The sequence below is a fragment of the Homo sapiens genome, chromosome 19 (genome assembly GCF_000001405.40).
Source record: "Homo sapiens chromosome 19, GRCh38.p14 Primary Assembly".
In the NCBI taxonomy this organism is placed as follows: Eukaryota; Metazoa; Chordata; class Mammalia; order Primates; family Hominidae; genus Homo; species Homo sapiens.
In genome coordinates this window covers 55654972-55680722 of record NC_000019.10, presented here as the reverse complement: position 1 = coordinate 55680722, position 25751 = coordinate 55654972, and the positions used below count along the sequence as shown (strand labels likewise).

Here is a 25751-nt window from a genome sequence, read left to right as displayed (position 1 = left end):
CGCTGGCTAGACGTGGACCCAGGGACCCCCTCCTGGACCCCTGCCCTGTGCCTATGCTCAGCTATCGGCGCATGCCGCAGCAGGGACAACAGTGACACGTGCTGACCTCACAAAGCTGCTCTCAGGACAGTGTCCAGCAGGCAGCACAAGCAGCAACCAAAGCAGGTTTCCAGACGCCATCAACCCTCCCCCGGGGAACTGAGGCTGAACCCCACCCCAGCATGAGGAACCAGTGGTTCAGGGTGGAGCGGGAACCCCGTGTCCTCAGCCACATGGGCTGGGGATCCTACAGGCTCTGCTGTGGGGATCATAGAAAGGAGAGTCCCAAGAATCAAGAGATGCTGCAGGGATGGCGGATACAGCAGGAACAGCCAGGCCTGGGGAGAGTCCCAGAGGGGCTGCAAAAACCATAGGGGAGGTCTTGGGGGTGACAAAAACCTTCTATGCCTTGACTGTGATGACAGTTATGAAATATGTGCATCTGTCAGAATCCAGAGAACTCTATCTCGAAAGGCTGGGTTTCACTGTGTGCAAATTACACCTCAGTAAAGCAGCCCAAGCCCCGCCTGGCACTGGAGGCCACGTCCCCTCTCCTGCACTGCCCTGTCCTGCCGTCCACCCTGGCTGCCAGCACCACATGCTCCCCAGCAGACTCTCAGGCCTTGGCACCTGCCAGCCCTGCCCACAGGCCACTCTGTGTCTGCCCCCAGCAGCATCACCCCAGCCACTGACCAGGAAGGATGTGCGTCTGGGGCCCCTCTGGATTCATCCCCTCTGCACACCCACCCCTCCAGCCCCATCCCTCCTCGTTGCCTCCAGAGAGGCTCACCTGCACCTCCAGGGTTTTCCAAGATTCTCAACTAAACAAACGCCACCCAGCCCTTCACAATAAATGACCAATAACTGATTCAATCTATGACTCAACCCAATCCTGGTGTGTCGGGATGGGTATGAAAACGAGTCACAGGAAACGAGCCTCAACCCCTGCTCCCATGTGTAAGTGCTGCAACGCTCCAGGCCTCAGCCTCCTCATCTGTGAGTGGAGGGAACCACCCTCACCTAGGCAGAAGTCTCAAAGATCAGCAAGGACAGGGACCTCCGCCAGAGCAGGCCCAGGTCTAAGCGCATGAGGGTGGGGCCTTGTTGGTCTGGTGCACCAAGACACCCAGAGCGGGCCTTCTGCAGATGCTTGCCGACGGGACCGCAACAGCAGGAGTCTAACACTCACCAGCCCCTGCCCCAAGTCAGACGTGAATCGGCTCCATGGGCCCTCACAGAGGGAGATTCAGGGACGAGCCTGAGATCCCGCCACTGGGAGTATAACCCGGCCCCAGCCCATGTCCTTGGCCACTTTGCCGTAACACGAGGAACACAGTAACCAAAGACCAAAGGTGGGGATGCCAAGGCCCCTGGACCCCAAGAGCAGCAAACTGAAAACCCAGTCGCTGAGTCCTGCTCACAGGCACGACAGCGTTCATCCCCAGCGTGGCATCGCCTGTGCCACGGGGAGCACACACCTGCCTGAGAGGCATTCATAGATGGGGCCCAGAGCGGAAACTTGGCTGCTGTGAGGAAAGGAACTGGGTGTCTGGGCACACAGAAGAGATGGGCACCGTGGGCCCTCTCAGGCCTCCTCAGCACATGAATCTTACGTACGCACCACTCACTCAAAAACAGATTTTAACCACAAGGCTCCAAACTTCTTAGCCTTATATTCGTTGCCTTCATTAAACAAAAAGAGAGATTTTACTCTTCTCCAGTTCCTCTTGAGAACCGGGATGCCATCCCAGGCAGGGTGCACAACACGGGCTCCTGTCCTCCCACCTGAGCCCCTGCACCTGCCCGGGGAGGAGAGCAGGATGCTGACCTTGTAAACGTGACGCCAGTTCTTGCCATGGTCATTGAGCCGCTTCCAGATCATGCTCATGATCTCCGAGAAGGCGACAACGTTGTAGGTGAGGTCGGCAATCTCTGACATGAGGGAGCTGGATGGGCCCCAGGGGTCATTGCTCGTGGCCTCTCGAACCTTGATCTCCGCCTCTGAGTAGTTGTGGACGATGTTCTTCATCTGGCGCCTCAAGGACGAGGTCGACATGGTGCCCGGCTGCAGCAGCAAGGGGCACAGGGCCCCGATGCGTGGAGAGATGGGGCGACTCCCGGACGAAGGCTGCGGCAGGTGCTGGCAGGTCACCGCATCTGCGAGGGGAAGAGGACCTCTGGAAACACAAATGGGACATGGCCTGCCCAGAGCCCTCAGGGTCAAAGATGAGTTCCTAACTGTGGCCCAGAAGGCTCTGTCCCTTGTTAACCTCTAGGTCTCAAAGTAACCCCATCCATGTTTCAGTTCCTCAAACAGGCTGCCTCCTTCCTGCTGGGGCCCCTGCTCAGTGAGGCAGAGTATATGCAGTGGCAGATCGCAGCCCCACAACCTGGCTCAGCACTTCCTGGCAAGGCCACCCTGGGCGGGCTGGATCTTTTGCACCTCAGCTTTCTCTTCTGTCAAATGGGGCTCCATGCGGTCATCTAGAGAACTGACGCCCTGTAAACACCGGCAGCGCATCAGGAGGCCCTCCGTCCTGCCCATGCGCTCTTCCTTCTTCCTCATCCAGGGATATCCACTCACCCCAAGGGCTCTGCTTACACTTCCCAGGTGCACACCCAAACATCACAGTCACCTATCCCTGGGGCCTCATCAGTAAACTCAGTCTCCCTCATGATTTTATATTCTCGTCTGATTCTGTAGCTAAGGTCAACCCACAGGCCCCATGGGGGCAGAGAACATGTCTGTCTGCATGTGGCTTTTCCCAGCAAAGAAGCTGGCCCAGAAAAACCATTCAGTAAACCATGCAAGGAGGAAGTGGAGAGGGAGGGCAGGAAAGACCTCTGGAACAAGGGCAGAGGGGGCAGGAATCCACAGCAGAAACAAGGACACATGGGAAAGAAGGCTGATGAAGGGATTAAAGACAGAGGCAGGAGCAGGGAACCAACCCAGGGCGGCAGGAAGAACCGGGGAAGCCAGAAGACCAGACGTCCCAAGGATAGCGGAAGCCCAAGGCTCAGGAGAGATAAGGAACCTAACAGCCCCACTGCCTGGGTCCCTGCTGTGTGCCAGGTGCTCGCTCAGCACAAGAGGGACATTACCTTTTTCAACACTGCATGCAAAGACTGGGCTCCTGGAAGTTAAATAATTCAACCAAGGTCACACACCAGGAATGGCAGGGCAGACTCAACCCGAGGCCCACCTGAACTCCAAAACTCATACTTTTAAATTAACCTAAATTAAATTAACCCATCCCGAGACTGGTGACGAGAAACAAGAGAGTCAAGCAAATGATGATGACACCAGCAGACACTCGCACTGCTCTTATCCCATGCCAGGCACTGTTTTAAGTGCTTTACATGTATTAACTCAGTTAATCCTTGAAACAACCCCATGATTCATAGCCACCTCACAGGGTGGAAACTGAGACACAGAGGTTCAGCCCCTTGCCCAGGGACACACACCTTACTCCTGGAGCAGCCTGGTTCCAGAGCCAGCTCTGATCACCCATCTATGCGGCTCCAAGAAGCCACAGAGGGAGATTTTCAAAGCCCCGCCATGATGTAAGCCCAGGGGAGATAGGGATGACGGAGAGAGGCTGGCCTCTGCTTCCACCTCAGGCCAGAAAGCCAGGCACCTGAAGACAGATGTAGCTAGTTAAAAAGTAACTCTCTGGAGTCCCAAAACAGCCCCAGCCTAATACATTAAGATGAAGAGATGATGTAACAAATGCAGAGAAGGGGACTGAGAAGAAATAGAAGACAGTTCTGACAGAAAGAGACACATAGAAACCTGGGCAGAGGGAGCTAGGCAGAGACACAATGAGAAAAACACAGGCAGCAGCAGATACAAGAACATGGGAAGACAGGGAGGCAGGAGGCCAAGGAAGAAAGAGGCCCAGAAACAAAAAGAGACCTGGCGCTGAGAAATAAGAGATAAGAAAAATGGAATCTAATGGCAAAGAATATAAAATGTGGGTTCAAATCCTGGCCACATCAGCTACCTGCAGCGCACACCTCCTTGAGACACAGTTTGCTCAACTCTGAAATGAAAGAATTCCTACCTGGTAGGCCTGTTGATTAAATAAGATGGGTACATGCAGTGCTTGGCTCTGTGCCCCACAGATAGTAGGCGCTCAATAACACTGGCTGCTATTATTATCAGAGAAAAAACAGAGAACATTTCCAAAAGGGTGGCGGCAGAAAAGGCACTATCTTAATACTCTGTACTTATTTGGCGTGCATTAGAAAAAATTACCCAACTAGCACATCAAAGCTGAGATTTCTCAGATACTGCTTAGAATGAGACTGTATTTCAAATTAAATTGATTCAAAGAGAATTCTTACATTAAAAAGAATACAAAGGATATGGCAAAGTTCTCCAAGGAGTACTCCAATAACCGACCGATATCTAACACTTACTGTGTAAAAATCTCTAAGCACTGTAATAATAAAAACCAGAGCTCCCAGTAATTACACACTTGCTATGTGTCAGATACCGTCAGGCACTTTACAAGCATCACCTCAACTTACATGCACAAGGACCCTATGATGTAGGAACTACGAATGCCTACGAACTATGGATTTCCTACGACTAGGAAACTGAGGTTTTGACACAGAGACTATCACCTGGCAATTACACAGCTTAGCAGGCAGCCGGGCTTCTGAATCCAAGGCTGGGGCTCTTCACCATCACACCAGAGACTCAGAAAACTGGGGAAAAGGGGCAGATTCTAGATCAAGTTAACAGACTCCTGGAAAGAAACTTCAGGATTGGAGGTGATAGGTATGGGGGCAAAACTCAGATGCGAAGACGGGGCGGGGGTAAGATTTGCACCATAGGCAGAAAAGCCCGCAGGGAAGGGCTAGAGACACCTAGGGAAAAGAAGACTCGGAAACTCAACGAGACACGAACAAATCCTGACAGACACAGACACGACAGACAGAGGAGAGAGAGACCCGGGACAGACACACAAACACACTCCTATCTCCAAACCCTTTTCTAAGTTCACTGAAACAGGCACAGGCAGAGGCCCACAGGAAACAGACGCTGACAGACACACAGACACGAGAGAGACAGACACAGACAACCGACACGGGGGCAGTCAAGGCCGACACAGGAGCAGAGACACAAAGGCCGCCAGAGACACCCAGAACTGGCCAGACGCGAGCCCGCGCGCGCCGCGGCCCAGGCCCGAACACCCGGAGCAGGCGGGCCAGCGTCCCCCGCGCTCCGCCCCGCGCTCACCTCGGCCCCCTCACGCCGGGCTCTGGGGGGTCATGGCGGTCAGCCCCCTGCCCCGCTCGGCCTCGGTGTCGCGGGACGTGCGCCGGGCCACGGGCGCACGCACGAACGCAAGGAGGGCCGCACGCCGACGGCTCCGCCGCCCCGCCGCCCAGAAGGGGCGCGGAGAGCCGGGCGGGGGAGGGGAGCCGCCGAGGAGACGGGAAGCAACAGAAGGAGGCGACGGACCGGAAGCGGAAATTGCCGCGCTCCCCGCCCTCCCGTGCCGCACCCCGCCCTGGCAGGAGTCGCTTCCGCAGCCAAGCCAACCTGGAAGGCATCACTTCCGGCGCGCTGGGCCCCGTTGCTAGGCGCCTCTACGTCACTTCCGCCCGCTGCAGCGGGGGATCCGCGCGGTGCTCACGGAACGCCGAGAGTCAGCTCCAGCTCGCTTGGCGGCAACCGCGGAGCTCCTGGCACACCCACGCCACGCCCGCCCCGGCCCGCTCGGCCACCATCCCTCCTGTCGGCGGGGTGGGAGAGCACTCGGGAACCTCACGTCCCCCGGGGCTGTGCCTGTGCCGACCCCGAGAAGGGCACCGCGCAAGCAGGGAAGGCCTCGAGGCTGCCGGCGCCGGCAGCAGGGGCGTCCCAGCCAGGGGCCCGCAGTTTGCCAAGGGAACCCCCACCCGAGCCCAGAACCGAGGAAGAGGGTCGGACATACTGGACACACAGCCGCTCCATAAAGTAAAATACAACAAAATGTTTAATGAGCAAATTCGTCTTAGCAAATATGAAACTGCCACAGAGAGTAGGAGAGGGGCAGGGGCCACGGGGCTGGGCGCAGGTCGGGGGAGACTAAAGAGGAAAAATCAACTACGTAAGAAACCCAGGAGGGGACCAGAGAGGACCAGAGGCCGAAGGAACAGAGCTGTGGTCCTGGTAAGGGAGAGGGCAGGGCACTGAGGGCCGGACAACAAAATTCAAAATAGTTTGGCCATAAAATATAAACACGCTATGTTCCTACCGTGGGGAAGGGGAGAAGAAAGGGGTCTATGGGAGAAGGAGAGGCTGTTTTGGGAGGGGCTGGGGTCCTACCCCGCCCTGCTGTGCACCCTGTCCCCATCCCAACCCCTTCCCTCTGTGTCTGTGTGGGTGCGTGTTGTCTGTGTGGGCTGTGTGCGCACTTCCCCAGTCCCCTCCCTGCCCTAACCCCCCAACCCCCCAACCCCCGCCCCCCACCCTTAATTGCTGCCATTCCAGTTGCTGCCGGCTGTCGTGTGTCTGCGGCTGTCACTCCTCTGCCCATCGTCTTCAGAGGGGGATAAGGGGGGGGCGGGAGTGGGGAGAAGCCCCCAGCCAGCCCTGCCCCCACCCTCCCCCAGCCGCCTCTACCAGAAGTCCCGGCGGTGATAAGAGTCGGGGTCACAGTATTTTGTGACAACCACTCTGTTGGCGAACTTGCGGCCCGTCAGGCCCTGCATGGCTTTCTGGCAGTCAAACACAGAGGTGAACTCCACAAAGATCTGTGGGGAAAGGAGAGGCAGGTTTGTGAACAAGGCTCACGCCCAACAGCCAGTCAGCGTCCACCCAACCCCAGCACTGAAGGCAGGAAGGGACAGGGAGGAGGGGGCTTCGCCACAGGTGTCAGAAAGGGACCCTTAGTAAGCAGGTTTGGTGGAGTTCACCCAAATATTCTCCAGGATCAAAAAACAAGAGCATAAACACACCATAGGCATGGAGAGGGAGAAAGAATAGAGACATGCCAGAAACTCAGCAGAGCCATAGAGCGCAGGCGGGAGGCCTAGACGAGCTCACCGCGGGGGAGGGGTCCCTCGTGCTGAGTGTCTACTCCACACGAGCCACCATGGTGGGCGCTCCCAGAACCACCCCAACAGCCATGTTCTCCCAACAATAAGTGAACTAAGGGAAGCTCAGAAATTAGGATTCAAACCCAGGTTGAATAAAATTTAAAAACTTGAACCTTGATCTATTCGAGCTTCTAACCTTGCTTAAACCAATTTACAGGAAAATGGAGGGAGGGAAGGATACAATGAGCCTACACGAACACTGAAAATTCTATATAGCAGATGAACTTATTTCTTCTACAAATAAAAGAGCTTGCAAAAAAAAAAAAGAGGGAGTGAGGTACAAAGGATAAATTACACAAACTTTGTAACCAAATTCAAGGCAGGGACCTGATATGGATCCTTACTGAAACAAACTATAAAAAATATCCTCGGCTGGGCACAGTGGCTCACGCCTGTAATCCCAGTACTTTGGGAGGCTGAGGCAGATGGATCACCTGAGGTCAGGAGTTCAAGACCAGCATGGCCAACATAGCGAAACCCCATCTCTACCAAAAATACAAAAATTAGCCAGACATGATGGCGGGTGCCTGTCCCAGCTACTCTTCTTTAACTCGGGAGGTGAAGGATGCAGTGAGCCGAGATTGCGCCACTGCACTCCAGCCTGGGTGACAGAGTGAGGCTCCGTCTCAAAAAAAAAAAAATTATTGGCCGGGCGCGGTGGCTCACGCCTGTAATCCCAGTACTTTGGGAGGCCAAGACGGGCGGCTCACAAAGTCAGGAGATCGAGACCATCCTGGCTAACACGGTGAAACCCTGTCTCTATTAAAAATACAAAAAAAATTAACCAGGTGTGGTGGCGGGCACACTGCACTCCAGCCTGGGCAACAGCGAGACTCTGTCTCAAAAAAAAAAAAAAAAATTCTTGAGATAGAAAAATTTGAACATGGAATAGGCACTAAGGAATTTCGCTAATCTAATCATGCTATTGTGGTTTTGTTAAAAAAACAAAACAATTTTTTAAGGTTATCTGGTTAGAGCAGTGGTTGTCAACTGGAGGAGGGGGGGTGTCCCCAGGGAACACTGAGCAATCTTTGGAGATGCTTTTGGGTGTCTCAGCAGGGAGTAGTGCTCTTGCATCCGGTGGGTGGAGGCTGGGGATACATCTCAATATCCTACAACGCACAGCAAAGGCCCCCACAGAGAAGTTATCTGACCCAAAATGTTAATTGAGAAATAATAGAAATATACTTAAGGATCTCAGGTGAAATAAACCTGATAAGCCTTAAAATAATCCAGCAAAGAAAAAGGAGGGGGGAGAAATAAGCTGAATATGAAAATTAAGAATGACAAAATATTGGTAACTTGAAGCCAGATGAAGGAACACCAAAATATTAGCACATATACTATGATAAAAACGTATCACTATCATAGTCCCTACTTTTAAGTATATTTGAAAAGACATGTAACAAAAAATTTAAGAATAAAACAATACAATGCAGTAATTTTTTTTTTTTTTTTCTGAGACCATGTCTTGCTCTGTCACCCAGGCTGGAGTGCAGTGGCGTAATCTTGGCTCACTGCAACCTCCGCCTCCCGGGTTCAAGTAATTCTCCTGCCTCAGACTCCTGAGTAGCTGGGATTACAGGCACGCACCGCCACCATGCCTGGCTAATTTTTGTATTTTTTAGTAGAGATGGGGTTTCACCACATTGGCCAGGCTGGTCTCCAACTCCTGACCTCATGATCCGCCCGTCTCGGCCTCCCAAAGTGCTGGGATTACAGGCGTGAGCCACCTCGCCGGGCCGCCGATGCAATAAATTTAATATGCAAAACAGGTCAGCTGATCCCAAAGGCCAGGGTCTCTCCATTCCTTCTTCCCACAAATGTTTCCTCAGCCCCTGCTTGAGCCAAGCTCCATCCCAGCACCAGAGGGCAGCCCTGAGCAGCCCTGACATACCAGCTCAAGGGAAGGGGACTCTGGAGGGCAGTGGGCAGGAGCTGCAGTGAGAGGAGATGCCGTTGGCCTTCCCCATGCCCCTTTTCTAAGATGCTCCTTCCACCTCTCCAGCCGCCCTCCCCAACCCTGCTCTCCCTGGGCAAACCACTCCGACATCCCAAGCAGGGCCTCGACAGACACCTGAGTGTCCATCAGCCCTCATGCTGGGAACACAGACCTGTCCAGCTAATTTTTCCTTGACATCTCTACTGGGTGTCTCAGAAACCGCAAAGCCAGCTAGCTGCCCCCCACCCCCCGCTCACCCCCGACAAGGTGCTCATCACCCCTGCATCTCACCTGCCATCCCCACCATCAGAGCTGCCACTAAGCAGCTCATAGGCCTTCTCCTCCCCTCCCCACAAACCCACACCCATCACCAAAGTCTGGACACTTCCCAGGCACAAGTCTCCCTCAAATCCATCAACTTCTCTCCATCCCCTGCTACTACTTTAAATCAGATCACCATCTTTCACCAGATTATTGCGGGAGACCTCATTCATTTTCCCAACTGCAGCCACAATCACCTCAAAAATGCCACCACCACAGTCCTGTTTTCTCCTTCAAAAGGCCACCAACTCCAGGGGAAAGCCGAGCTGCTTCCATGACATAAGAAGGCCCCCACGCCCGATCTGGCCCTGCAGAGCCAGCCTTGGTCCTGACAAACCTGGCTGTGGCATCGCTTTGGCAAGACCAACCCTGCCAGCTCCCGGCAAGCCCTCCTGTCCACAGCACCCTCTCTGCCCTCCTGCTGATCCACATCCTGCCCTGCAGGGCTCAGCAGGGAAGCCAGGGCCAGGGGAAGTACCTGCTGTGCCTCCGCACCCACCCCCAACCTCACTATGTGGGGTCATTTCCATCTGCCAGGCGTGACCACCCTGGAGGCCTCTCAGTATTGCTTCCCTCCCATCTGGCTCAAAATAAGCGGTCGTTCCAAGACCCAGGCAGCCCTCCAAGGCCTGCCACTCAGCCCTGGCCCCACCACCTCGCTCACTCACCTGCTCACTGCCACCTCTTGACCTTGACCACCCTGAACGAACAGTACACCCAGGAATGCGGCCCCTGCCCCGACTCAATACGGCATGCAGGTCCTCTAACAGCTGCACGGACAGCAGGGTGCAGGGACAGCAGGGTGCACGGGACAGCAGGGTGCACGGACAGCAGGGTGCACGGACAGCAGGGTGCACGGGACAGCAGGGTGCACGGGACAGCAGGGTGCACGGACAGCAGGGACCTCTATTCACAACTGAACCCTCAGCGTCTAGATCAGAGCCTGGTACGATGGGAATTCCATACATACACCCAGCAAGGGGATCAAAGAGCAGGTCACACGCCCTCACCACCACCATCTCATGAGGCAGAGAGGTGAGGTGATTACACCTGTCACGGCGCTGGAGGTGACAGGACTTAGCAGAGTCTGAAATCAGACTCCGAGAACCTGAAACCTGCCAGTGTGAGCCACCCCCGCTGTGCCTGTCTCCTTCCACGATGGGGCTCAGGGGCTACGGGGAGGGCTCAGGGTGAGCACAGACACAGCTTCGGCAGGGTGCCTGGCACACAGGAGACACCAGCAGGTGTCTCGGGACTGTTCCCGGCACTCTTCCCCACTCCACAGACCAGGCAAAACCATTTGCACAAGCCAGGCCATATAAGGGGGAGCAGGGCCAAGTTCTACAGCGATACAGAGCTACATTCCCCAACTACTGTCTCGCCTGCAGGTCTTGGGCCCCCACAGGGCCACAAACCCCTCAGGGTCACCAACATCTCCCATGGCCCGGCCTGAGGGCGGCACTCAGTGATGGCATACACCTATACGCACGCGCTGCGAGAGGAGAGAGAGAGGAAGAAAGAGCGCGCGGAGAAGAGGAGGGGGAGAGGGTGAGGGAGCAAGAGAGGAAGAAAGAGGGCGCGGAGAAGAGGAGGGGCAGAGGGTGAGAGAGCACTGAGCCCGAGGCCTCCTGACCTTTCCGCAGCCGGGCACCTCGACGCCGTCCACAGGCCGGGGGATCTCGATGGACTTGACAAGCCCGTACTTGCTGCACTCGTCCCGCACGTCCTCCACGATCTCCTCATACTCCTCGTCGTCCAGCAGCTCCTCAGGCAGCACCATGTTCATGAGGCACAGGACCTCAGTCGGGTGGCCGCCCATCTGCACCTGGGAGCTCATCAAGCCCGGCACTTGCAGGGTCACAGGCGTCTGATTGATGGTGCTCTGTGGGGCCAGGGGAGGCAGCGGCGTCACAGGGGGCCCAGACCCAGTCTCCCTCTGCTCAAGCCTAGGCCCCTCACATGCCCCCCCAGGGGAAAGGCCATCTCTCCACTTCCAACACCTAAAGCCCGACTCCCCAACACTGCACTGAATGCCCCCCAAATGCCTTCCCATGAAAGCTGGGAGAAAGATCAGGAACACTTGTCCCCTACTAGCCAGCCCCTCCCACCCCCAGGGTCCCTCAAGCCAATGGAAGATGACGTGCCGGGGGGCTCACCAGCGTGGCATTCTTGGCTCCCACACTCGCCCTCTGGACCAGCAGCTTCTTATCCCCCAGCTGCATGCCGTTCAGCCCCGCAATGGCCTGTGTTTGGAGGATGAGGGGTCGGGGGGTGCGGGGAGAGGTGGGGTCAGGGACCAGGAGCCCGACACCTACCCCCAAGCCGGGGCATTGGTGGGGGAAGAGGGGAAGGCAAAGGGGATTAAGAGCCTGGAAAAAGCCAACGCCATGGGACAGGGACGAGCCCACACACAGGGCACTGCCTCAGGTTGGCCGCCTCCCGCCCCGTCCCCTGAGGAGGGGAGACCATGGCTTGGCAACAGCGCAGGGCAGGGAAGGACAGACGCGGCAGCGGCCAGCGACCGGGGACTCACCTGATCCGTGACGTTGATGTCCACGTACTCACAGAAGGCGTAGCCCTTGGAGAGCCCCGTGGCACTGTCCTTGACCAGGTTGAAGGCCTTGAGGGGCCCAAAGGATGTCAGCAGCTCTTTGACCTGCAGTAGCCGAGAGTCCATCAGGGCTGGGATGAGGTGGGGCGGGGTGGGGGGACGGGTCTGGAGGGAGGCAGGGAAGTTACCTGGTCATCGTTCAGGTAGTTGGGTAAGCCCCCGATGAACAGCTTGTGGGCAGAGTCGGGGACCACAGTGGACACAACCCCTATGGGTAGAGAAGAGGAGGACTTCAATTCCAGTACCAGGTTATCTCCCAAAACCTGGACAGTCTACGGCGAGCTCCTCAATTGCCAAAGAGAACACTTCCTGCCTGATCTGACGAGGGAGGGGTCGCCACGTGCCCACCCCACCCCAGCCTTATCTGACCAGTGAGGGTCCTGGGCAGTGGCACACAGAGGCTCCTCGGGGAGAACGCACCATGTCTCCCAAATCTGCCCAGCCTCAGGGGAACCTCAAACTAGAACATCCTCCAGAACGCTCCAAAGGCACAAAGTTCACACCCACATCTGCTACCTGCTGCTGTGGAATGCTGGCAGGTCACCTGGGCTCGGGACCTACTGGTGAGTCACAACACACCCCACCCCTTCTCTGACAGCCACCCAGGCAAGGCTCCCATTAAAGCTCAGTCCCGGCCGGGCGCGGGGGCTCACGCCTGTAATCTCAGCACTTTGGGAGGCCAAGGCGGGCAGATCACAAGGTCAAGAGATAAGACCATCCTGTCCAACATGGTGAAACCCCGTCTCTCTAAAAACACAAAAATTAGCGGGCTGTGGTAGCGTGCACCTGTAGTCCCAGCTACTCAGGAGGCTGAGGCAGAAGAATGGCGTGAACCCAGGAGGCGGAGGTTGCAGTGAGCCGAGATCACTCCACTGCACTCCAGCCTGAGCAACAGAGTGAGACTCCATCTCAAAGGAAAAAAAAAAAAAAGCTCAGTCCCTTCCCTTCACGCCCTGTCAGAACTGCAGGTGCCACTGCAGGGGTGCAACTGCCCTCACAGGGGTGGCACGACACGATGAGCAGCCGCGGCTGCCCGGGAAGTCTCAGAACAGCATCCGCAGCATTAGCTGCTCTGATCTCACTGGGAACTGTGGGCTGACTGTGGGATGCAGGATCCAGTGTCTTCGAGGGCTGACATACCAGAGTGGGGGCTTATCAGCTGAATTTACTGGCCCTCGATCCTGCCCTATCCACTGAACTCTGGACTCACAGACAAGTGCCTGCTGGTGGGATGATTCAACCTGAGACCCCACAGGCTCTGCCAATGTAACTTGACGCCGTCCTGTCAGATATCAGCTATGCCAGGCCCCGGTAACCAACCAGCCTGACTCCCAAGTTCAAAACCTAGGCCATATGGCCTCCCCTTCCTCTGCAGCCTCCACACCAAGTGTGAGTGGCCCCATCCCACCTCCATCCTGATGCTGGGAAGGAATAGGTAAGACAGGAAATGGGAAAGAGCCTCAGAAGCATGAGCCGCTGTGCCCATGGAAGGAGGGGAGATGCCCCCACACACCCTCTCCCACCTACTCACTCAAGCCCTTCCAGCCCATGATGACGCTGCCCCCACAGAACTGGAAGCACCAACCCAGCCAGCTCCAACCACCAGACTGGGGCCACACAGACCCCAGGAGACCCAGCTCCTATGCTACAGGGACAAGTAGCAGCAGCCCGGGAGCAGGAACACACACCGGGCACTCACCCCATGGGCCAGGCATCCTGTAAGACTTTCAACCTCCTACTGCAATGCTATACATACAGCACAGAAGGCAAAAACTGAGGCACAGAGCAAAGACACACAGGCAGGAAAAAGGCAGCCTCCAGAGCCCACACTCAGCTGTGACTCCCCACAGGCAGCATGGCAGGCTGCAGGCTCTGCCTGGGTCCAAGGAAGAATGGGTCACACTGGAAGCTCAGCCGCGAGCCCTGGCTCTGCCCGTCTCACTTGAGCAACACAGAGCCAAGGATACAAGAGTTGGGCTCCCTGGGTTCATGGCTCCTTGGGTTCAAGTCTTGTTTGTACCATATGAGCCTCCAAGGGCCTCAGTGTCTTCATCTGTAGAATGGGAAGAACCCTGGTGCCCATCGTGTGAGCCACGTGTGTGAGAACAGCTCAGGCCAAGTGCTGATTCAATCGAGGACGTGAGAACAGGCACGGCAGTCCCCATGGCCCGGGCATCTGCCAGACTCAATGCCCACAACAGGACCCACCCAGCCCAGACACACACTGTGAGCACTGTCAGTGGGGTCAGCCGCTGTTACATGACAACAACTTCAAAGGAATCTTCTCGGAGTCTTGAGTTCCTCCACTCATCACTGAGGACAAGCCCTGCTTGGCAGGGATGTTCCAAGAGTTGGGCGGGGAAACAGGGCCCCATACCTCTGCAGCGGCTGCATCTACAAAGCATCACACCTGGAGCAGAGGCTGTGTGGGGAAGACCCAGCAGGGATCCCCATTGTCCCGAAGCTCTTTCCTCATCTGTAAGATGGAGCAATGTCCCCTCCCATGGTGACCAGGCCATCTTGGTGCAGGGGGCGCCTGAGAGGAGCTCGGCAGCCACTATCACTGGGTTGCCCTCAGCTCAGCCCCTGCCAGAGCACCCCATCACCTTCAGAAGAGTCAAGCTCCTCAGCCTGGTAAGAGAAGCAACCTTAGATCCATAACCCACGGTTCCTATTCCCCAAGGCCCACCACACGTCCCTACCCAGGAAGGAGGCGCTGCACAGTGAGGCCAGCTGCACCGCCATCCATCTTTACTTACAAAAACAGGCAGTGGCCGGGAGCAGTGGCTCACGCCTATAATCCCAACACTTTGGGAGGCCAAGGCAGGTCACAAAGTCAGGAGTTTGAGACCAGCCTGGCCAACATGGTGAAACCCCATCTCTACTAAAAACACAAAAAATTAGCAGGTGTGGTGGCACATGCCTGTAATCCCAGCTACTCGGGAGGCTGAGGCAGGAGAATCGCTTGAACCTGGGAGGCGGAGGTTGCAGTGAGCCGAGATCACACCACTGCACTCCAGCCTGGGCAACACAGCAAGACTCCGTCTCAAAAAACACAACAAAAAAACAAAAAACAGGCAGTGGGCCAGCGTTGGACTCTCAGTTGTAACCTGCCAATCCCTGTGTCGTAGAACTGCCGTGCATGGAGGGCACTTAGGACAGCGCCAATCCCTGTGTCGTAGAACTGCCGTCCATGGAGGGCACTTAGGACAGCGCCAATCCCTGTGTCGTAGAACTGCCGTCCATGGAGGGCACTTAGGACAGCGCCAATCCCTGTGTCGTAGAACTGCCGTCCATGGAGGGCACTTAGGACAGCGCCAATCCCTGTGTCGTAGAACTGCCGTGCATGGAGGGCACTTAGGACAGCGCCAATCCCTGTGTCGTAGAACTGCCGTCCATGGAGGGCACTTAGGACAGCGCCAATCCCTGTGTCGTAGAACTGCCGTGCATGGAGGGCACTTAGGACAGCGCCTGACACACACTAAGCACCAGCAAGTGGCGGGCCACTCATGGGACTTAAAATGAATGAAAACGCAGTGGATTCACCAGGAAGAGACGTGGGGAAGACATTCTGCAGCTTGATCGGGGAAACGCACCCATACGTAAAAAGTCCATGTCGATTGGGAGCATGTCAACATATATTACAGGCTCCAAAAGGTTAGCTGAATTTACCAAAACCCATGATGGAAAAGCACTGGGCTGAGCGCAGTGGCTCATGCCTGTAATCCCAACACTCTGGGAGACTGAGGTGAGCGGATCACTTGAGGTCAGGCGTCGGAGACCAACCTGACCAACATGGTGAAACCCACCCTCTACTAAAAATACAAAAATTAGCCAGACATGGTGGCAGGTGCCTGTAATCCCAGCTGCTCGGGAGGCTGAAGCAGGAGAATTGCTTGAACCCTAGAGGCGGAGGATGCAGTAAGCCGAGATCGTGCCACTGCATTCCAGCCTGGGTGACAGAGCGAGACTGTCTCAAAACAACAACAACAACAAAAAGAAAAGCACTGGAGGCCAGTGAGGGACCTAGCCCAAGTCCTGCCTGACACAGATGTGCCTCCGTCTGGGGCTCCACATCGCCTGCCCTGAAGAGCTGACTCAGTTCCTAAAGGGCTCCTCGAACAGTGAGTACCCGCCAGCAGAACCCCACCTCCTCCATGTCCCAGGCCTGAGACACAGCCGCACCCTGACAGGGCATCAGACAAGCCCTCCCTCAAATCCCATTCATCAGCTACAAGGGTCAGCCAACTATAGCCTGTGGGCTGACAGGGCCCATCACCTGGTTTTGCACATCCTGCAAGCTTTCTAAAGGGAGACCATTCTGTGGCCTGTGAGAAGCACAGGAAAGCCCAACCTCAGCAGCCACGCGTGTCGAGGTGTGCCGGCACACAGCCAGGCCCACGCACGCAGACACCGTCCGGCTGCTTTCACACACAGTGACATGGTCGCCAACCCCTGGTCTGCTATGTTACCTACCAATTACAGATGATGTTCAACACAGCTATGGGGAATGGCCCAGAACACAAGATTCAAGGCAAACACTAGGAGACAAAAACAAGTGAATACCCAGGTGCCAGACCCCACAGCAGCAGCTTTGCTGCCAACCGTCGACACACAGCAGCCCCGACGGGCACAGACTGAGCCCTCCAAGGTCCCACAGCCGCAACGCAGGCACGAGGTCCAGGCCACAAGCCCCTCGCTTCCCCAGCACCTTTGGTCTGATCCTGGCTCTGCCACGTACAAGCTGTGTGTCCTCAGCAGGTGACAGCTCATTCTCCCGGCCCTAGGCACCTTCTCTACCAGCAGGAGAGCACCCCACTCACAGAGACTTAGGGGAAGCAGGGAAAAGGCACCTATCTTCCACAGTACTTACACAACTTCCTAAGCCACTCCAGCTGGGCTGAAGGGATGGACAGGCCATGGGAACAGGACTGGGGGAGAAAGGGGCCCTTAATGGATCCCCCACTCACCAGGCACATAGACGGAGGGGTTCTCTGACATGCCAGGAAGCGGCTGGTAGTCGTGAGGCCTGCGGATCTTTAGTGACTGGCCCTGGAAGATGATGCCATCAAAGGCCATAGCCTGGGTAGTCTCGTCCACTGAGCGGAACTGAATGAAAGAGAAAGGAGTGGTGAGGGATGGGGGTCAGGGACTAGTACAGCCCCTAGTGTTCCAGGATTGGGATTTCCTCTTTCCTTTCACTCATGTGAACAAATACAACATGCCAGGCCCCAGGCTGGGCACTGGGAGTACAACAGACACGCATGTCCCTGCTGCCAGGAGCTCACACTCGACCATTAAAAACACCAGGCACCCAACACAAACACAGAGGCAAACACACAATTGCAGGCTGTGATGACACGGAAGAGGGACAAAGTGCTGAAAAGGGATGTTACGGGAAAGGTTAGTTGAACGGGGAGATGACAGTACTGGAGTCTTTCTGGTGAGGGGGACATTTCAGCCCATCTCCGGAGCAATGCAACTGCAAGTGGACTGCAGTGAGGCAAAGACAGAGTGAGAGGGACAGAGTGAGAGGGAGTGCTCAGACAGTGAGAGGGAGTGCTCAGAAATCTCTGCAGTAAGCTAACACTGCCCACACCTTCACAATACTTCATGAGAGTTATCAGTCCACCAAGAGTCGAAAATCAAAAACCAAGGCCTTTTCCCGACAGTTGAGAAACACAGACACAGAAGACTAGTTAGGAACATCAGTTAGCTGGGGTAACAGAAGACTAGTTAGGAACATCAGTTAGCTGGTGTAAAGAACTCTAGCCAAGCAGGCAGGAGCATGGTAGGTTCTGGGAAGGTCAGTGTGGCCAGAGTGCAGAGAGGACTGGGCCGGAATGGTCTGGAAAAGGCCAAAGAGGTCTACAGAGGCCAAACAGGCCTCTCAGGTCACACAGAAAGCAAATGGAAGGCAGAAAGTAGGATCAGATCTGTAATGCTATAACAGGGCTCACTTCAGCGACCGGGTGGAGAAGAGGCTGCAGAGGGCCTGGTGGAAACAGCACAAGGCAGCTCCACACAACATCAGCCTAAGGGCTGGGCCCTCACATCACACACGTTTCCTGGACCTCACTCACTCCCCCAGCTCACCTCCAAAAAGGCAAAATTCTTGTCCTGGTTAATCTGCACAGCCAACACTGGGTTGCCAGGGGCCTGGGTCAGCCCCCCCAGGCGCATCTGGGCGTTGAAGAAATCCATCATGGCCTCCTGCAGAGGGAATAGGAGACAAGGGGGGGGGCGGGGGAAGGGAGGTGGAGAGAGGAGGGGAAGGGTGAGAGAGGGAGACACAGAGGGGTTTGGGGGTAAGGGGAGAGGGATGAGGGGAGGGAGGAGGGGGGGAAGGAACAGTGGAATATGGGTGGGGGTGTAGAAGTCAATAGTAAGAACAGAAGCAAGAGAGAAAATGGGGAGGAAGCAGTAGCAAGAGACGGCCAAGGGCAGGCGATGGACAGGCGTTGGGGGACAGCCACAGGGGCCCCAAAAAATCAGGGGAAAGGAGAAGATTGTTCAAGAAAAGGCAGAGGGCATGATGACAACACAAAATGAAGAAAAACACGAAACACAAGAGATGAAGAGACAGAGCACACAGGAAGGGCCACCCAGTGGAGACAGACAGAAAAGTGGCAGGAAAGTAGAAAGGAAGTGGCAGGCAGGGGCAGAGACGAGCAAAGGACAGAAAGGGAGAGCAGGACAGAGACGAGCGAGGAGGAGGAAGTCAAGAGTGCAGGGGCAGGAGAGGAGGAGTGTAGGGAGGAGGGGCAGGGACGGGAGGGGAGGAGAAAAGAGTGATGTGGAGGAATCTGGCCCTGGAGTCCGGGGGCTGGTTTATCAAATGTAGCAAAGTGCAGGTTGAGAAAGTCAGAATGGACCTTACTTGCCTTCGACGATGGTAGCAAACTTTTTGTTGCTACGAGGGATCTCAGCCCCACAATATTTCACTTTAAAGAGAAATGGAAACAACTCTTTGATCTCGGGATTCTCAGGGGGTGCCACAGGAAGGGGTTGGGGAGAGGGGAGAGGGAAAAGGAGTGGTGGGGAAGGGGGAGGTCAGGGGCGATCAAAAATAAAAGAACAGCGACCATGGGAGGGACGTGGGGGAGAGGATAGGGGACAGGCGGCAGAGAACGAGAGGCGTGTCAGAAAAAAACTGAGGGGCAGCGTGCGTCTGTGTGTGTGTGTGTGTGTGTGTGTGTGTGTGTGTGTGTGTGTCCAAGTCTCCCTCTCTGTCTCTCTCCGACACGTAGGTACAACACGTGGGTACATTATGTGTGTGCTTGATCCCTGGGTTGCTGGAGGAGGTTGGGGGGAGGGGAGACGGGAGAGGGGAAGAGGAGGGAGGGAGGGCCACCCCCAGCCCGGCCCCTGGCTGGCTCAACTCCATCGGTCCGTCTGGGAGGGGGCCGGGGGGTCTTGCAGGAGCAGAGTCTGACCCGTGCAGGTTGGGGAAAGGGAATGGAGGGAAGGGGAGGAACGGGGTAGAGGGACAAGGGAGAGGGTAGGGGGCAGGGGAGGGCAGTACCTCAGTGATGCCAAAGGGGATGTTGCCCACGTAGAGGCGCCGGGCTTGTCTGGTCATCTGGCTCCCGACCACGGGCACCGGCGTTGGGGTCACAGCCAGACCGTCAGGGGTCATGGTGGGGAGAAGAGCAGTGGCTGGAATCTGACCCGCAGCTTCAAAGGGAATAAAAGCCGGATAAAACCCCATCAGGGGAATGCTCAGTGACCACCCCTCACCACACACTGGGAGTTCCCCTCCTCAGCAGAAAGCTCCTACAGGCTCTCGGTCTTAGCACCTTCCAGAACCCTCTTTCCACCCTCGGGGCCCCCACCCAGTAACTGCTGCTCCTCAGAAGCCTCACTTCCTAATGGCGTCCAGATGGAGGCCTCATTCCCCTGTCAACCACGGGTGTCTCTGGTCATTTCCTCCTCTAGGGAGGCTTCAAAAGCGCAGAGACCAGAACCCCCAGGGGTGTGCAACCCTCTACCTGTGTCTTTGACCCCCTCCAAGCACACACGCAGGGGAATGACTGACGGAGAATCCCAACCCCTGTACCCTCCCGCTCTGGGAGCAGCCTGGCCAGGGGCCTACCTTGCATGGCCTTGTACTGCATTGGGGTGATGTGCTCAAAGCCTGGGGGTGGCACGTCCCAGTATTTACGGACCTTCTTCTTCTTCTCGTGGCGGGGGGAACGACTGGGGGAGGTGGGAGGGGAGAGCGGGGCAGGGCAACCTCAGTCTGACCAACAGTGGGCCTGCGAGCCCCCTCCCAGGCACCCTTTCACCCTCCCCGCAACCATGTAAGCTCCACTCTCTCCAGGGAAGGAGAGGGTCTGGGGCAGGGCCTGGGAAAGGGGTGCTGGTTTCAAGGTAAGTGGACTCTTCCCAGTGCTTGGGCCAGGGCTGGAAATGGGCGGGACAGGGTGCACGGGCGTGAGGAAGGTGAAGGGAGTGGACATCAGGGAGGAAGGGGCAGGAAGAGAAGCTCACATCAGTCCACCGTGCTCCTCTTTAGCGCCTCTGGTCAAAGGTTTGCTGGGGGGTGGGAGGGAAAGGTATGGGGAGGGGTGACTGGGGACCCTCGTCTTCCCCACATGCCACACCCCCCCAAGGGCACTGAGCCCCAGGGTGGGAGCAGGGCCGAGGTCAACAAGCAGCAAGCAGGCCACCCTCGGCCCTGCCATTTCCCCCCAAACACTCCCACCCCCAGGAAAGAGGAAGTGAGGAAAGGAGAAAGGGGCCAGGGGCCAGGAAGGACCAGTCTCTAGCTGGAGAAACTGAGCCGGGAGGAGGCAGGAGGACTTCCGCCTATCCTGCCCTTCCTCACCTAAGGAGGCAGAGAACAGAAAGGGGAGCCTAGAAGGGAAGAGGCGGTGGAAACCGACACCCCTGGGCCAAAAAGTCAGCCCAGGCTGTGGATACTGCCTCGGTCCCAAGAGCTCCCTTCTCCTGGGAGGCAGGGAAGAAAGAAACTGGAGGCAGAGACCAACCCCCTCGAAGAGAGTCCCACAGAGAGCCACAGAGAGTCGAAAAGAAGGAACAGGCCCTCAGAGTCAGAGACAGAGAACAACCCCTTGTGAAGGAAAACACAGAATCAATTCCCAGGCTCCAGATAAAGAGCCTATTGCCCCCAGCAACCCACCAGCAACCACCAAGACAGAAAATGAAAGAAACCCCAGAAACGGGGGAAAAAATCGGAATCCAAGACAGACCAAGCAGTAGATCCCTCCCCCAGATCCACACAAAGAACGAACGAGCCACACAGGGCCCGGACCCAGACACAGACACACACAGGCCACCCACAGGCCGGCCAACACCGACCCCCCGACTCCCAGGCTGGCCCAGGGGATCCCTGAGCCCTAGTACCTGCGTCGTCGCCTGTCCCGGGAGGCGCTCCGCTGGTCCCGGTTGCGCCGGTCGCGGCTCCGGCTCCGGCGTTTGCGGTCCCGGCTCCGAGAGCGGCTGTGGCTGCGCTTCCGATGCCGGTTCTCCTTGTCCCGCTCTGGGCAAGGGTGAGAGGAGGGGCACGGGATAAGCGGAGTAAGGATGCGGGCCCAGCCCACCCTGCGCGCTGGTGGCTATGTCCCAAGCCCCAGGGAGGCCACCCCCAAAGGGAAGGGATTCAATGGAGGAAGGGAATTAACAGGCCTCCTGGGTCCACAAGCGAGTCCAGGGACCATGAGGGGACCAGGGGGACGGGGCCTGGAAATGCCCCCGGGGTGTAAGATACCTGAGGATGCTCAGGAGGAGCTGGGGAGCCAGAGAAGACAGAGGAGGCTGGCTCCTGGTCCCCCTCGAGGGCTGAGGGGCCTGACCCCAGGGTCGTCCCTGAGAGGGGCAGGGCTAGAGGCTGGGGAATCAAGAGACCCAATGATGTTTTCCTGAAGGGACCCAGCGACCCCTCAGGAAAGACCTCTGCAACTAGCTGGCACCCACAGCCCCACCATCAGGACTAGGGGTCAGGTGCCAGGCAGGATCTGATATCCCCAGGAAGCAGGGAAACTCAACCCATCCCTTCCCAAGCCGGTGAATAATGCAGAAGCAAGCACCCTTCCCAGGGGAAGAGAAGGGCCTCGGAGAATCTGCAGACTGAAGGGGAAAGAGGCCCTCCTCTCCTTCAGCAGGTCAGGGGAGGAGCTTGCCCCATCCAGACTTGAATCCCAAACCACTTGAATCTCTCAGCCTCACTCCCTTCAAAGCCAAGTACTGAAGAGACTGTAAAGGCGTGAGTAGGGGCGGGTATCTCTGCCAGCCTCCAGCAGGCTCCCTCAACCCTCTATTTGCCTGAGGTAGCCACTAGGAACGGAGCCTCACTGGCAAAACCACAGAAACCTCTGCTCTCACCAGACCCTTCAACCCCTGAAGAGAGACCGGCCCTTCAAGATGGAGGATAAACCATGAGCATGGGGGGGCGGGGGGGTTCATGAGCACCGCCACACCATTTCCTTAATTCAAAGACACCCAGATTTCTCAGCTAGCCATGAAGCACACACACAAAACAGATGCACACGTTAAGGTGCTTATATATGTTAACACGCATCTCCTGGAGTGATCATCCCTGGGGACAAGAGGAGGAAAGGGCACTGAGGGAGGATGTTAAACTTCAGCCTCACCCACAGTGTTTTGTCTCACGTTTTTGCGATGCAATGTGAATGTCTGGAAAAGCATCACAATTCCAAAACCACCAACACTCAGAAAAATATGCACCCAGCAGGGAAAAAAACAGCAACAAATATTGAGATGCTTCCTACAACCGGAATCTGTACTAAATTGTTTTGTTTGTTCTTAATCCTCACTACTGCTTCGGAAAAACACTGCTGGGGGCTGACATAATGGGTAAGGAAACTAAGGTATAGAGAGATCACAATTACCAAGGTCAAACAGCTAGGAAATGGTGACACCAGAATTTAAACACTCTGACATCAGTGAGTTAAGCACGAGGCCATACTCTCGAATGTGGATCAGGCAGAACACTCAGGTCTGGCTAGAACCATTAATGACAATATAATTGTCCCCTTGAAGGCCAAAAACCCCAAAATCAAAAACTGAAATTGGGAGGAACAATCGGCAGGACAGGCCAGCAGTGTAGAGCAGCGGGCACACAGGCACGGCACTGGGCACAGCTCCTCGCTTATAAGATGGACAGGCTGTGAGCCCCAAGAGCCCTTTCTGCTGCTAAGGCTCTGAAACAGGCAAGCAGGCAGACAGGAACCCACGCAGAGAAAGCAATGATGCCCGCTGGGTGCCTGGGATATAGACAAGGAAATTCCCTGTAGATACAGGTAGCAGAGGAAAGGACTGAAGCAGAAGGCGACACGTACAGAAGCTGGCCCGTCCTCCGCAGAGACAAAGACTACAGGCAGTGACACGCGGGCAGAGCTTCCCCTATGGCAAGAACCCTCTCCCACACACTGATGCTGGACAGGTAAAAACAATGAGAGCTTCGTTTGCTCAAAACACTGTATTGTGGTCATCTTATGGGAGCAGCTCCGCCAACCCAGGAGCCGTGCCAGGTCTCAGGGACTGCCCTACCAGCACCAAAAGGGAAACCCCGGGAGAACCGGTGAAGCACCATCTGAGAGCCTCAAAGAACCGCCCAATCAGCTCCACTTGGTCCAGCAGAGTGGAACTTGGCCTTGCAGCCAGAGCTCAGAATCAGTACCTGCTTTTCTGCTTATGAACAACAAAAACCATGCAAAAGCAACTTAGCCTTTAAGACTTGGTTTTCTCTTTAAACGAGGGTCGTATCTACTCCATCCAGGTGTTGTGTGGCAGAATGACATTTGGAAAGCACCTTTTCCTGCCCTTTCCCAACTCTGACACAATCTCTGTGAGCGGAAGACCCTCCTCTCTAAGCATGGAATTTTACAATTGCAAATATCGCTTACTGCACACCCAGTGTACGCAAAGCCACATGCCACACACTTTACATGTTACCCCATTTAATCTCAGCTCTGCCTCTGACTAGCTGAGCCCTGAGAAAGTTTTTAACTTTTCTGAGCCCTCAGTTTCCTCCCCAGTAGAGGTGGAAATCATTTTGGCCTCACAAGGCTGTTAAAAGGATCCACTTAGTAAAACATGCTAAGAGTTTAGCGAAGAGCCTGGCACACGGTAAGCGCTCAGAGTTTAACTACATCTATCGTTACTATCATCCTTTTTAATCTTCTCAAAATCCGGTAACAAGAAAATAATAATCAGTCTACAAATGGAAAAAAATATATAAACGTATTAAAAGCAGTTACTAAACGACAAAGCAGGTATCTAAACTTCCTGATGTGCTCAACTCCAAAGCCTATGCTCTTGAGCAGTCCATCAACTAAGACAGAGTCAGACCCTCAGTAAACGTTATTGCTTCCCCAGGACACTGTTTCCTAATACAGCCCCTACCCAACTCTAGCCCGGGTTCAAAGGAAAATTCCTCAGCCCTCATTTCGTCCTCCGAACGAGCTAGGAACATGGGCAGCTGAAGCCTGAAAAGAAACAAGTCTCCAATCTTCCCTGGTCCTGTATTTCTTCACAAACTGAAACACGGAGGATTTTTAAAGCGTCTTAACAACTCTCCCACTTCTAATATTATTGGAATCCCTAAGATCAGGGCCCCAGGCTTTTTGTTCTAACCCATCACAATTTTCGATACCCTGAAGGGAACCTGCCTCCCACCTTCCCCGTAAGTGAAGAGTTTAGCGCAGTGGGCCAGATCCCTCTTCCTCCCTCAGAACCTGTTTTCTTATCTCTATATTGAGATCTGAGACTGAGTATTATCAGGTGCCCTGAGATTGGGATTGTAAATGATTTGAGGTTTGTCTCAAACACTCCATATCGCGATTCTCGGGACCGCCAAAAGCCCCGCATATGCAGGATGTGTGCGTGCGGACACTCAAAGAATGCAGATGCTTTTAGGCAACATGTGCCAAACACGTTAATATGAGGCGCCCCACTACCAACAGACGGGGCAGAAACCACCTGGCGGGAGAGATCAGAGCAAATCAGCAAAAAGGAAAAGGGGTACGCGAGGGGCCCGTGGCCTCCAAGCATCCGCCGAAACGGCTCTGCCCTCATCCACGTGAAGGAAGGAAAGGGGCCCCCCCACCAAGTTCTCACAACCGCCATTTTGGAAACAAAGGGGGCGTGGAGACGCTGCCGTGGGCCCGACCGGAAGCGGAAGTGCCAAGGCAGCGGGAGAAAAGAGATTACGGGGACTAACATAATCTCCTTTTCAGAGAAACCAAAAAGATTTTAAAAAACAAAAGTTCACGTCGAGGCATCTGGCGCGCTCGTGCCGCGTCCCCCGCGCCACCTCCGCCAGGACCACGTGGGGCGCAGGGACAGCCGCCGTGCGCATGCGTCACGGGCCCGCGCCCCGCCGCCCCCTTCCCCTCGCCTAGCGCGCGGCGGAACGCTGGGGACGTCACGTGAACGAGGCGCGCGCCACGGAACCAGGGTTGGGGGGCGCCGCGCGGCCGTGAAGTGGGGGGAAGCGAGGGAGAAAATGGCGGGGGGGCAAAGAGCGACGCGAGGAGCCGCCCACACCTCCGCCCCGCGACCCCGGTGCCCTCACCTTGTTTATTCTCGTTGAGCTGCCGCTCGAACTCGTCGAAGTCCGACATGCTGAGGCGGCCGCGTAGGGCCCTGTGCAGCTTTCGCCTCGCCTTGCCGCCCGCTCCAGCCGCTTCGGCTACTTCCGCCGCTGGCTTCGGCTACTTCCGGCCGCCGCCGGCGCTTCGCCACCTCCTACCTAAT

General features: G+C 55.9%; 2 protein-coding genes across 8 annotated transcripts in view, besides 8 other annotated features; both read right to left on the bottom strand.

Annotated features, from left to right (window-relative positions):
• Positions 1-5497, bottom strand: part of EPN1 (epsin 1) — a 34308-nt gene extending 28811 nt beyond the window's left edge. For 3 of the 4 annotated variants that reach the window (NM_001130072.2, NM_001321263.2, NM_013333.4), the window contains exons 1-2: positions 5288-5497; positions 1868-2196 (exon numbers count right to left, since the gene is read on the bottom strand). In NM_001130072.2, coding sequence (NP_001123544.1) covers positions 1868-2095 — 228 coding nt within the window. In that variant the 5' untranslated portion in view covers positions 2096-2196; positions 5288-5497. Of the gene's footprint in view, positions 1-1867; positions 2197-2988; positions 3174-3504; positions 4095-5287 lie in introns of those variants that run through there. The other variant, NM_001130071.2, reaches the window with a different exon arrangement.
• Positions 2395-2804: an enhancer, noted in NCBI's record as "active region_15108". NCBI's record gives its function as "activates an Ori minimal core promoter by ATAC-STARR-seq in GM12878 lymphoblastoid cells {active_cell/tissue: GM12878}" and the evidence as "EXISTENCE:reporter gene assay evidence [ECO:0000049][PMID:35858748]".
• Positions 2395-3020: a biological region, named in NCBI's record as "Sharpr-MPRA regulatory region 14549".
• Positions 2726-3020: a silencer, noted in NCBI's record as "tiled region #14549; K562 Repressive non-DNase unmatched - State 2:TssF". NCBI's record gives its function as "represses a minimal TATA promoter and a strong SV40 promoter by Sharpr-MPRA in K562 cells {active_cell/tissue: K562}" and the evidence as "EXISTENCE:reporter gene assay evidence [ECO:0000049][PMID:27701403]".
• Positions 5216-5545: a silencer, noted in NCBI's record as "silent region_11061". NCBI's record gives its function as "represses an Ori minimal core promoter by ATAC-STARR-seq in GM12878 lymphoblastoid cells {active_cell/tissue: GM12878}" and the evidence as "EXISTENCE:reporter gene assay evidence [ECO:0000049][PMID:35858748]".
• Positions 5716-5935: a silencer, noted in NCBI's record as "silent region_11060". NCBI's record gives its function as "represses an Ori minimal core promoter by ATAC-STARR-seq in GM12878 lymphoblastoid cells {active_cell/tissue: GM12878}" and the evidence as "EXISTENCE:reporter gene assay evidence [ECO:0000049][PMID:35858748]".
• Positions 6007-25688, bottom strand: U2AF2 (U2 small nuclear RNA auxiliary factor 2). 4 transcript variants are annotated; one of them, XM_011526410.2, is made up of 13 exons: positions 25570-25688; positions 21742-21861; positions 21378-21513; positions 20502-20546; positions 20104-20207; positions 19534-19685; positions 18105-18221; positions 16979-17117; positions 12137-12216; positions 11931-12053; positions 11542-11640; positions 11031-11279; positions 6007-6789 (listed from the first exon to the last, which is right to left on the bottom strand). In XM_011526410.2, the coding sequence occupies exons 5-13, from the start codon at positions 20123-20125 to the stop codon at positions 6655-6657; spliced, it is 1116 nt and encodes a 371-aa protein (XP_011524712.1). In that variant the 5' UTR covers positions 20126-20207; positions 20502-20546; positions 21378-21513; positions 21742-21861; positions 25570-25688; the 3' UTR covers positions 6007-6654. The 4 variants fall into 4 exon arrangements, with proteins under 4 accessions (XP_011524712.1, NP_009210.1, NP_001012496.1 ...); NM_007279.3 differs by lacking the exon at positions 21742-21861; NM_001012478.2 differs by lacking the exon at positions 21742-21861 and having other exon boundaries at positions 11554-11640.
• Positions 24863-24942: an enhancer, noted in NCBI's record as "active region_15107". NCBI's record gives its function as "activates an Ori minimal core promoter by ATAC-STARR-seq in GM12878 lymphoblastoid cells {active_cell/tissue: GM12878}" and the evidence as "EXISTENCE:reporter gene assay evidence [ECO:0000049][PMID:35858748]".
• Positions 25303-25442: a silencer, noted in NCBI's record as "silent region_11059". NCBI's record gives its function as "represses an Ori minimal core promoter by ATAC-STARR-seq in GM12878 lymphoblastoid cells {active_cell/tissue: GM12878}" and the evidence as "EXISTENCE:reporter gene assay evidence [ECO:0000049][PMID:35858748]".
• Positions 25653-25702: a silencer, noted in NCBI's record as "silent region_11058". NCBI's record gives its function as "represses an Ori minimal core promoter by ATAC-STARR-seq in GM12878 lymphoblastoid cells {active_cell/tissue: GM12878}" and the evidence as "EXISTENCE:reporter gene assay evidence [ECO:0000049][PMID:35858748]".